Source organism: Homo sapiens, chromosome 19 (genome assembly GCF_000001405.40).
Source record: "Homo sapiens chromosome 19, GRCh38.p14 Primary Assembly".
Classification (NCBI taxonomy): Eukaryota; Metazoa; Chordata; class Mammalia; order Primates; family Hominidae; genus Homo; species Homo sapiens.
This window is the reverse complement of record NC_000019.10, coordinates 32,728,334-32,740,562: the sequence shown is the minus strand read 5'-3', so window position 1 is coordinate 32,740,562 and position 12,229 is coordinate 32,728,334. Positions and strand designations below refer to the sequence as shown.

At 45.3% G+C, this 12,229-nt stretch overlaps 1 protein-coding gene across 11 annotated transcripts in view; it reads right to left on the bottom strand.

The window, feature by feature from the left end:
- Positions 1–12,229, bottom strand: part of TDRD12 (tudor domain containing 12) — a 109,814-nt gene that overhangs the window by 89,018 nt on the left and 8,567 nt on the right. For all 11 annotated transcript variants that reach the window (NM_001437947.1, XM_011527473.4, XM_011527475.3 and 8 more), the window contains exons 2-3: positions 8,680–8,838; positions 1,571–1,707 (exon numbers count right to left, since the gene is read on the bottom strand). In NM_001437947.1, coding sequence (NP_001424876.1) covers positions 1,571–1,707; positions 8,680–8,838 — 296 coding nt within the window. The remainder of the gene's footprint in view (positions 1–1,570; positions 1,708–8,679; positions 8,839–12,229) is intronic.

Sequence of the window (12,229 nt, the reverse complement as noted above, 5' to 3'; positions counted from 1 at the left end):
CAGAGAGAACCCCAGGAGATGCAGAGAGCAGCCAGGAAATGCAGAGAACGCAGGAGATGCAGAGAACACAGGAGATGCAGAGAGCACCCAGGAGATGCAGAGTACCCAGGAGATGCAGAGAGTACCCAGGAGATGCAGAGAGCACCCAGGAGATGCAGAGAGTACCCAGGAGATGCAGACAGCACCCAGGAGATGCAGACAGCACCCAGGAGATGCAGAGAGCACCCAGGAGATGCAGAGAGTACCCAGGAGATGCAGAGAGTGCCCAGGAGATGCAGAGAGCGCCCAGGAGATGCAGAGAGAGCACCAGGAGATGCAGAGAGTGCCCAGGAGATGCAGAGAGTACCCAGGAGATGCAGAGAGCACCCAGGAGATGCAGACAGCACCCAGGAGATGCAGAGAGTACCCAGGAGATGCAGAGAGCACCCAGGAGATGCAGAGAGTACCCAGGAGATGCAGAGAGTGCCCAGGAGATGCAGAGAGCACCCAGGAGATGCAGAGAGAGCACCAGGAGATGCAGAGAGTGCCCAGGAGATGCAGAGAGTACCCAGGAGATGCAGAGAGCACCCAGGAGATGCAGACAGCACCCAGGAGATGCATAGAGTACCTAGGAGATGCAGAGAGCACCCAGGAGATGCAGAGAGTACCCAGGAGATGCAGACAGCACCCAGGAGATGCAGACAGCGCACCAGGAGATGCAGAGAGCACACCAGGAGATGCAGAGAGTGCCCAGGAGATGCAGAGAGCACCCAGGAGATGCAGAGAGCACCCAGGAGATGCAGAGAGAGCACCAGGAGATGCAGAGAGCACCCAGGAGATGCAGACAGCACCCAGGAGATGCAGAGAGTACCCAGGAGATGCAGAGAGTACCCAGGAGATGCAGAGAGCAGCAGGAGATGCAGAGAGAGCACCAGGAGATGCAGAGAGCACCCAGGAGATGCAGACAGCACCCAGGAGATGCAGACAGCAGCCAGGAGATGCAGACAGCAGCCAGGAGATGCAAAGAGAGCCCCAGGAGATGCAAAGAGAGCCCCAGGAGATGCAGAGAGCAGCCAGGAGATGCAGAAAGAGCCCCAGGAGATGCAGGAAGAACCCCAGGAGATGCAGAGAGCAGCCAGGAGATGCAGAAAGTAGCCAGGTGATAGAGAGAGAACCCCAGGAGATGCAGAGAGCAGCCAGGAGATGCAGAGAGCAGCCAGGTGATAGAGAACCCAGGAGATGCAGAGTAGCCAGGAGATGCAGAGAGTAGCCATGAGATGCAGAGAGTAGCCAGGAGATGCAGAGAGCAGCCAGGAGATGCAAAGAACACCATCTGAACCTGCCTGTCCTGCCAGGACGGACAGTGGGAGAGGGCCAGAGCCACCTCAGCCTTCATCCTGCCCACCCACTCTGCCAGTCAGTGGGTGCAGACCTGAAACCCAGAAAGCACCCCTTCTGGAAGCTAAAGAACTCCAGTTTTGTCTTTTCTCAGTGTAGTGACCTCTAGCCCCGTACTTTAAAATGGACGTTCTCCTTTGAAACTGACATTTGTCTCTGAAAAGAGCGTAAGGTGAGATAAACATGTACATACTTTTTAGATTTGACTGGAATGTTCTTGGCAAAGTCCACAAGGAAACATTCTGCCAGGTACTGGTCTGCGGAAGACGTAATTGATTTGACAATGGCCCTGCACCAGCACTTTAGCTCCTCACAATAGACCACACACACCTGCAAAATAAACAGAGAGTTATTTTTATTTATTTATTTTTTTGAGACAGAGTGTTACTCCATTGCCCAGGCTGGAGTGCAGTGGCACAATCTCAGCTCACTGCAATCTCCACCTCCCAGGTTCAAGCAATTCTCCTGCCTCAGCCTCCCAAGTAGCTGGGATTACAGGTGCCTGCCGCCATGCCTGGCTAATTTTTGTATTTTAGTAGAGATGGGGTTTCACCATGTTGGATAAGCTGGTCTCAAACTCCTTACCTCATGATCCGCCCGCCTCAGCCTCCCAAAGTGCTGGGATTACAGGCGTGAGCCATCACGCCTGGCCAACAGAAAGGTTTTTTAAGGTCAGTGTTAACATTTCATCAAAGAACAAGAGAGGTAAAAGGTACTCTCAAAACCATCCCAGTCAACATTCTCCTTTACAGCAGAGGAAAGAGATGCCAGGAGGCCGGGCCTACCCAAGCTGAGCCACTCTGCCCATAAGAAAACCTCAGGAACACAGGCCGTCTGAGTACTAGGTCACTGTTTTTCTTACTACAATTGTTTCCACTCCTTAACTGAGGACAATTTTTAGAAAGTAAAATAAGAAAAATGCATTCATTTACCTTCTTAAATCAGGAAATAATGCTTAGGAATGATTGTCAATCATGTGTCTGACCAACAGGAAGCTGCCACCAGGCTCATCCTTCCACTCCCTTACCCATGACTCTTTATTTTTTTTGAGACGGAGTTTTGCTCTTGTTGCCCAGGCTGGAGTGCGATGGTGCGACCTTGGCTCACTGCAACCTCCACCTCCCGGGCTCAAGCGATTCTCCTGTCTCAGCCTCCCAAGTAGCTGGGATTACAGGCGCATGCCACCAGGCCCAGATAATTTTAAGAAATTTTTTTAGTAGAGACAGGATTTCATCATATTGGTCAGGATGGCCTCGAACTCCTGACCTCAGGTGATCCACCCGCCTCGGCCTCCCAAACTGCTGGGATTACAGGCGTGAGCCACCGCACCCAGCCTCCCCATGACTCTTATTGGCCTCTGACATTTGTTTACTATCTGTCATAACTGGACGCTGGCTCCTTGATGACATGGATTTTTGTCTGTTTTGTTTACTGCCAAATTCCCAGCACCTAGCAGTGCCTGGCATATACTAAGTCTTCAAAAACTACTTGAACCAGGCATGGTGGTACGTGCCTGTAGTCTCACCTACTTAGGAGGCTGAGGTGGGAGGATCGCTTGAACCCAGGAATTGGAGGCTGCAGTGGGCTATGATTGCACCACTGCACTCCAGCCTGGGTGACACAGTGAGACCCTGTCTCAAAAAAATAACAGTAATAAAATGTTTTAAAAATAAACTACCTGGGCCAGGCATGGTGGTTCACGCCTGTGGTCCCAGCACTTTGGGAGGTCGAGGTGAGTGGATCACCTGAGCTCAGGAGTTCAAGAGCAGCCTGACCAACATGGAAAAACCCCGTCTCTACTAAAAACACAAAAATCAGCCAGGGATGGTGGCATGTGCCTGTAGTCCCAGCTACTCAGGAGGCTGAGGCAGGAGGATCACTTGAGCCAGGGAGGCAGAGGTTGCAGTGAGCCAAAGATCGCGCCACTACACTCCAGCCTGGGCGACAGAATGAGAGTTTGTCTCAATCAATCAATAAACTGCCTGTTTGATGGCTGAATAAGTGCACAGTCCCTGACTTATGATGGTTTAACTTACAATTTTCAACATTATGATGGTGTGAAACTATTGCAATTTTTACATAATGTGCAGTATTCAATAAAATACATAAATATTTAAACTTTACTACAAAATAGGCTTTGTATTAGGTGATCTTGCCCAACCATAAGCTAATGTTAAGTGTCCTGAGCAAATTTAAGTAGGCTAGGGTAAGCTAGGCTGGTCAGCAGGTTAGGTGTACTAAGCCCATTTTTTACCTACAATTATCAGGACATAACCTCATCGTAAGTTAAGAAGCATCTGTAAATGCCTGCAGCCCCTTTTAAGGAGAACCACCCTGCAGAGGTGACAACCCTTGGCATCCTGACTGTACCACAGGACTGCCAGGCCACAGCCAACTCAACTAATAAACCGTATGCTAACCACAGGTTTATAAAGCAGTCCAGCAGGAGAGCTGCGCTCAGACAGAAAGGAAGGGGACTGATAGAGATTGCTGTCCTTGGGAATAAGTTGGAAAATACAGTACAGCCATACTGCAAGGCACAGGTTCTAGAGAACCTCACATAACTCAAAACTCGAATAATTCAACAGAAATCCTGACAAAGGATGAAGGGTATTTCTATTTAATGCTGAAGTCAAAGCATCTTGTAGAAATACCATGAATAGTTAATAATTCACACAGCCAGCCAACCTTCAAAATGAGGCATGAAAGCCACATTCATCTCATATATCTCCATGAGAGCTCTTCAGTGACCAGGTGCACTGTCAATGAGCACTAATTGTTTGTTGTTTTTTGTTTTAGAGACAGGGTCTCATCACTACATTGCCTAGGCTGGACTCAAACTCCTGGGCCCAAGTGATCTTCCTGCTTCAGCCTCCCAAGTAGCTGGGACTGTGGACACGTGCCACCATACCCAGCTCAGCAGTAATATTTTGAAAGGAATCTTTTTTTCTGAGCATAGATCTCAACAGTAAGCTTAAAATATTCAGTAAGCCATGCGTGAACAGATGTGCTGTCATTCAGGCTTTCTTGTTCCATTCGTAGAGCAGATAGAGTAGAGCTAGCATAATCTTTAAGGGTCACAGGACTTTTGGAATGGTAAATGAGTACTGGCTTCAACTTAAAAGTCACCAGCTGCATTAGCCCCTAAAAAGAAAGCCACTCTGACCTTTAAAGCTTTAGTCCTTTAAAGACACCGACTTCTCCTATTTATTTTTTAAGATGGAGTCTCTCTCTGTCACCCAGGCTGGAGTGCAGTGGTGCCATCTCAGCTCACTGCAGCCTCCACCTCCCGGGTTCAAGCAATTCTCCTGCCTCAGCCTCCCCAGTAGCTGGGATTACAGGTGTCCGCCACCACACCTGGCTAATTTTTGTATTTTTAGTAGAGACAGGGTTTCACCATGTTGGCCAGGCTGGTCTCGAACTCCTGACCTTAGGTGATCCACCCACCTCAGCCTCCCAGAGTGCTGGGATTACAGGTGTGAGCCACCACACCTGGCTGACTTCTCCTATTTAGCTCTGGAAGTCCTAGAAGACATCTTCTCCAATAGAAGGCTGTCTTGTATACATTGAAAACCTCTTATTTAGTGTGTCCACTTTCAACAATGATCATAGCTACATCTGGAGAAACTGCTGCAGCCTCTCCATCAGCCCTTGTGCTTCACCTTGCACTTTATGTTGTGGAGATGGCCTCTTTTCTTAAACCTCATGAACCAACCTCCGCTAGCTTCACATTTTTTCCCTGCAGCTTCCTAACCTTGCTCAGCCTTTATACAATTGAAGAGAGTTAGGGCCTTGCTCTGGATCAGGCTTTGGCTGAAGGGAATGTAGTAACTGGTTCTAAGCCTCTATCCTGACCAATAAAACTTTCTCCATATTACCAATAAGGCTGCTTCTTTTTTCATTTTTTTTTTCATTTGTGTGTTCTCCAGAGTGGCACTTTTAATTTCCTTCAAGAACTTTTCCTTTGCATTCACAACTTTGCTAACTGTTTGGTGCAAGAGGCCTAGCTTTCAGCCTATCTCAGCTTTCAAAATGTCTTCCTCTAAGTTCAATCATTTCTAGCTTTTAATTTAATGTGATTCATCCTTTCACTTGAACACTTAGGGGCCATTGTAGGGTTATTAATTGGCCTAATTTCAATTGTGTGTCAGTGAACAGGAAGGCCTGGGGAGAGGGAGAGAGATGGTGGAGCAGTCAGAACACACATTTATTGATAAAATTCACTATCTTACATGGGTGCAATTCGTGGCACCCCAAAACAATTAAAATACTAACCTCAAAGATCACTGGCCACAGATCACTATAACAGATAGAATAATAACAAAAAAGTTCGAAACACTGGGAGAATTACCAAGATGTGACACAGAGACATGAAGTGAGGACCTGCTGTGGGAAAAATGGTGCCTATAGTCTTGCTCCATGAAGGGTTGCCATAAACCTTCAATTTGTAAAAAAACATAGTTACTGCGAATTCACAATAAAATGAGGTCTGTTTGTACTTAAAAGTGTAAAGGGCCAGGCGCAGTGATTCATGCCTGTAATCCCAGCGTTTTGGGAGGCCAAGGCGGGCAGATCTCTTGAGCCCAGGAGTTCGTGACCAGCCTGGGCAACATGGCGAAACCCTGTCACCACAAAAAATACAAAAAAATTAGCCAGGTGTGGTGGTGCATGCCTTTAGTCCTAGCCACTTGGGAGGCTGAGGTGGGAGGATTGCTCGATACCAAAAGGCGGAGGTTGCAGTGAGCCGAGATAGAGTCACTGCACTCCAGCCTGGGTGACAGAGTGAGACCCCCATCTTCAAAAAAAAAAAAGAAAAGAAAAGAAAAGGAGGAGGAGGAGAGAAAAACAAAACCACCCTCTCGACACCAAAAATGTGATAACTAGGCACAAAGCACTAAGTTGAAAACTGATCCACACAATTTCTCTTTCTTTGCAGTATGAACTGTATTATTTGCATTCATAGGCCTTCTGATTTAAAAAATTTTTAAAAAGGCCAGGCGCGGTGGCTCACGCCTGTAATCCCAGCACTTTGGGAGGCTGAGACGGGTGGATCATGAAGTCAGGAGATCAAGACCATCCTGGCTACCAGGGTGAAATCCCATCTCTACTAAAAATACAAAAACGAAATTAGCCGGGCATGGTGGCAGGTGCCTGTAGTCCCAGCTACTCGGGAGGCTAAGGCGGGAGAACGGCGTGAACCCGGGAGGTGGGGCTTCCAGTGAGCAGAGATGGCGCCACTGTACTCTAGCCTGGGCAACAGAACAAGACTCTGTCTCAAAAAAAAAAAAAATTAATTAATTAAAAAAATAAATTAAAAAAATTTAAAAAAGGAACAGTGTTATTTCAGGGTAATCAAACAGTCTTAAGAGATCAGGGAAAGTTCTATAACAGAAGAATTCCAGCTGATGAATGCAGAAGGAATGAGAGAAAACCCCACATCGAGTGCCTGAATAAAAGAGCTGATTCAGGCAGCAGTGGTCACTGAATGGAGAAGCCATCACATGAATGCTGACAGGTAAGGCCACAAGGAGGGTCAGGATGTCCCCTCTGGTCAATCTCAGCATCACTGAAAACATCATCTCTCAATTCAACATGAAGTTCACATGAAGTTCACAGTACACCTATTCTTGAAAAACAGAAGCAACCTTAAATCTACCCAAAGCTTTATATTTAACTATACACATACACACACACATATACATTTTTTTTTTTTTTGAGACAGAGTTTCACTCTTGTTGCCTAGGCTGGAGTGCAATGGCGTGATCTCGGCTCACTGAAGCCTCCGCCTCCCAGGTTCAAGTGATTCTCTTGCCTCAGCCTCTCTAGTAGCTGGGATTACAGGTGCCTGCCACCACGCCCAGCTAATTTTTTGTATTTTTAGTAGAGATGGGGTTTCACTATGTTGGCCAGGCTGGTCTCGAACTCCTGACCTCAGGTGATCCACCTGCCTCAGACTCCCAAAGTGCTGGGATTACAGGCGTGGGCCACCACGCCCGGCTACGCATATTTTTTTTAAGAGACAGTCTCGCTGTCTCGCCCAGGCTAGAGTGCAGTGGCGCAAACACAGCTTACTGCAGCTATTACCTCCCAGGCTCAAGTGATCTTCTGCCTTAGCCTCCAGAGTAGCTGGGGCCACAGGCACGTGCTACCATGCCCACTAATCTTTTTATCTTTTGTAGAGACAGGGTCTTACTATGTTGCCCAGGCTGTTCACAAAACTCCTAGGCTCAAGCAATCTTCTTTCCTTGGCCTCCCAAAGTGCTGGGATTACAGGCAAGAGCCAGCATGCCCAACCCAAAATGTGGAATATTTTTAAAAACAATTGACCTGGTTTAACTTCTTCAATTAGTCAATGGCGTGGAAACAAATTATGTTATTGTGCTTGCTTCGGCAGCACATATACTAAAATAAATTATGTTATTAATGATGATTTGGGGGAAGTGGATTCAAATTATTTCTGCTTTTTCTCATAAAGAGTTTATAAACCTTTTCCTATTATACCATTACAAAAATTCACTCTCTTCTGAAAAGTAGCTGAGCTGTGGCAACCATGACAAGGGGCAGTGAGAGCTGAGTCTGCAAGAAGGCAAGGAGGGGCCACGGCGTGGAGTAAGGAGAACAAAGACATCTGAGTTGGCCAAAGTCATGCAACCAAAAGGGAGGCGTTGGCCCTACACTGAAGACCCTATTCCCTCTTTGCTGAGATCCCTACACCTCTGTGGGATCTCAAATAACCCCCTGGTTCCCAGCCCCAGAGGGATGGCCCTAATGCCTGGGTGTAGATGACATTCTGTCTACTTTTGCCCCACATGGACCTTACATGGCGGCCACCCCCTTCCATGACTAGCCTGAATCTTGTGCAACCTAAAGAACCTTACACTGGCTGGGCACAGTGGCTCACACCTGTAATCCCAGCACTTTGGGAATCTGAGGCGGGTGGATCACCTGAGGTCTGGAGTTCGAGACCAGCCTGGCCAACACGGTGAAACCCCCGTCTCTACTAAAAATACAAAAATTAGCTGAGTGTGGTGGCCCATGCCTGTAATTCCAGCTACTCAGGAGGCTGAGACAGAAGAAGTGCTTGAACCCGAGACACGGAGGTTGCGGTGAGCCCAGATGGTGCCACTGTACTCCAGCCTATGTGACAGAGCGAGACTCCATCTCAAAAAAAAACCTAACACAAGGCACTGAGTGTAAGAAACTAAAATACTCTAAAAGCTTGAATCATCATCGTTGCCAAAATAGTTTATATTTTGAGTGGTGTTTCAATACACAGTGATTAAAGAACATTTAGATACATACCTGTCCTTCTTCCAATGTTAAGGGTTTTATTTCTATATCTTGACACGTGCTGTTGTAGAAGTCATTCATGGCACTATTTAATTTTTGATAATCGACATCATGATCTAAAAAGGGACTACACCCTTTTATAATAACCCAGAAGCAACCTGGATCTTCAATCTGTAAATTTTTTAAAAGACAAACAGAACAGCGTATGATTTAAAAGTAGTACCACAAAATAAACTTTAGAGCCACGATTACTGTTTCTAATTTAAGTGACCTAACAAATTCTTGACAAATGCCTTTGCTTAAATGGTTAGACCGAAGATAAAATTCTAAAACACATAACCAACAGTATGTAATTCTCAATTATGTGTTGTGACTCAAATAACGAACGGATGTCCTCAATCTCCCATATTCTGAAAAATCCATAGTAATATACAAACACAAGGTTCAGAGCAATGTTTTTAGTACTTTTGTTTGTTAAAAAAAATTTTTTTAATTAAAAAAAAAATAGAGATGGTGTCTCGCTATTTTGCCCAGGCTAGTCTCAAACTCCGGGGCTCGAGCAATTTTCCCACTTCGGCCTCCCTAAGTGCTAGGATTACAGACATAAGCCACTGTGCCTGATTTGTATTCTTCTTTTGTAAGAAAGAGAAAGCAATGTGAATATAAGTACATTCTGCTCATAATAAAAAAAATAATAATGGCAGATAAACCAAAGTAAATGCAAATCATGGTCTAAGGGGAGGAGAGAAATGGAGAAGGGACACGGAAGAAAGTCAGACTTCCTGGAATGTATTTTGTTATGTACTATTGTTATTAGAAGCCAAGATTTTCATTGTTAAAGACACAAATATAAAGTGAAAAGTTAAATTTGGATTGAAAATACCAAAAGGTCTCGCTGTGTCACCCAGGTTGGAGTGCAGTGGCGCAATCTCAGCTCACTGCAACCTCCACCTCCTGGGTTCAAGCAATTCTCCTGCCTAAGTCTCCTGAGTAGCCGGGATTACAAGCGTGCGCCACAATGCTCAGTTAATTTTGTATTTTTAGTAGAGACAGGATTTCATCATGTTGGCCAGGCTGGTCTTGAACTCCTGACTTCAGGTGATTCGCCCATCTCAGCCTCCCAAAGTGCTGGGATTACAGGCGTGAGCCACCGCGCCCAGCCAAGAACTCATGATTTTTCAAAAGTATTACCTAACTCTGCCTAGAAAAAATGACATCTCAAGATTTGGGCAAAAATGACATCTTTGCCCAAGGTGGCAAGAATACAGGTATTCCCACTAGTATTATTTCTACTTTTCTGAAGGTTTGAACATTTTTATAACAAATGATCAGAAAAAAGAACAGTAGTTATTCTGGTTCCAGTGACAATAGAATAGTTTCTATATCACCTGTGGGTAACAATAATAAACCCTGGAAAAAATACAAAAATGACTATTTGAAGGCAGTGAAGAGCTACCAAAAGCAAGCAGAACCTGAAGGAGATTCAACCCTTGAAAGAAGGAAACTTCCCTGGGTGAGATCCACTTTTACACGGCTTTTCCCCTGAGCCCATTCCCCAGTCCACGTGGTGTTAACCAGCTGCAATTCAAGGAGAAAGTCATGTTTGTGGCTTGAGGAATCAGAGAACAGAGTTTGGGGCTGCCATAGCAGCTTGAGAATTAAAGGGTAAAATTCCTAAACGGAGAGCCACAGAGGGGGAGCCCTAAAGTCTGCATAAGAACACCTGTCACATTCTTGGCAGAAATGAGACCCCAAGGAGTCCAGAGAAGACCAATGGTGGGAAGGCTGAAAGAAATACGCAGTTTTAGCCGGGTGCTGTGGCTCACACCTGTAATCCCAGCACTTTGGGAGGCCGAGGTGGGCGGATCACGAGGTCAGGAGATCGAGACCATCCTAGCTAACACGATGAAACTCCGTCTCTACTAAAAATACAAAAAATTAGCTGGGCGTGGTGGCAGATACCTGTAGTCCCAGCTACTCGGGAGGCTGAGGCAGGAGAATGGTGTGAAACCGGGTGGTGGAGCTTGCAGTGAGCCGAGATTGCGCCACTGCACTCCAGCCTGGGCGACAGAGCAAGACTCCATCTCACAAAAAAAAAAAAAAAAAAAAAAAAAAAAGAAAAAGAAAAAGTAGTCACCAGAAAGTGAACCCAAGATACCCAGATATTGGAATTAACAGGCGAGGACTTAAAAACAGCTATTATAAATACAGAACTTAAAGATGAGATGGTTAGAGTGAGTTGAAAACAAAAGAATCTCACTTAAGAAATGGAAACTCTATATGTATATAGATATGTATCTATTTATACATGTATAGATATAGATACACACACACAAGCTGTGGAAAACGTAAATTTCATAAATGAAAAATAAAAATTTAGGCCAGGCACGGTGGCTCATGCCTGTAATCCCAGCACTTTGGGAGGCCGAGACGGGCGGATCACGAGGTCAGGAGATCGAGACCATCCTAGCTAACACGATGAAACTCCGTCTCTACTAAAAATACAAAAAATTAGCTGGGCGTGGTGGCAGATACCCGTAGTCCCAGCTACTCGGGAGGCTGAGGCAGGAGAATGGTGTGAAACCGGGTGGTGGAGCTTGCAGTGAGCCGAGATTGCGCCACTGCACTCCAGCCTGGGCGACAGAGCAAGACTCCATCTCACAAAAAAAAAAAACAAAAAAAAAAAAGAAAAAGAAAAAGCAGTCACCAGAAAGTGAACCCAAGATACCCAGATATTGGAATTAACAGGCGAGGACTTAAAAACAGCTATTATAAATACAGAACTTAAAGATGAGATGGTTAGAGTGAGTTGAAAACAAAAGAATCTCACTTAAGAAATGGAAACTCTATATGTATATAGATATGTATCTATTTATACATGTATAGATATAGATACACACACACAAGCTGTGGAAAACGTAAATTTCATAAATGAAAAATAAAAATTTAGGCCAGGCACGGTGGCTTATGCCTGTAATCCCAGCACTTTGGGAGGCCGAGACGGGCGGATCACAAGGTTAGGAGATCGAAACCATCCTGGCTAACATGGTGAAACCCCATCTGTACAAAAAAAAAAAAAAAAAATAGCCAGGTGTGGTGGTGGGCACCTGTAGTCCCAGCTACTCAGGGGGCTGAGGCAGAAGAATGGAGTGAACCCAGGAGGCGGAGCTTGCAGTGAACCAAGATCGCGCCACTGCACTCCAGCTTGGGCAACAAGAGTGAGACTCTGTCACAAAAAAAAAAAAAAAAAGGAAAAGAAAAATTTCACAAGGGGTATACTCGCTAACATTGTACTAAAGGTCCCAGTTAGTACAGTAAGACAGGAAAAAGACTGTCAGGAAGATTAGAAAGGAATAAATAAAATTGTCTTTATTCATAAAGAACACAATTGTCTACACAGAGAACCTTAAGGAGTCTATTAAAAAATTAGAACTACAATGAAAATTATAAAACGCTGCTGAAAGAAATTAAAGAAGACATAAATAAATGGAAAGACATCCCACATTCATTGACTGGAAGATTTAATATCATTAAGATGTCAATCCTACTCAAAGCAATCTAC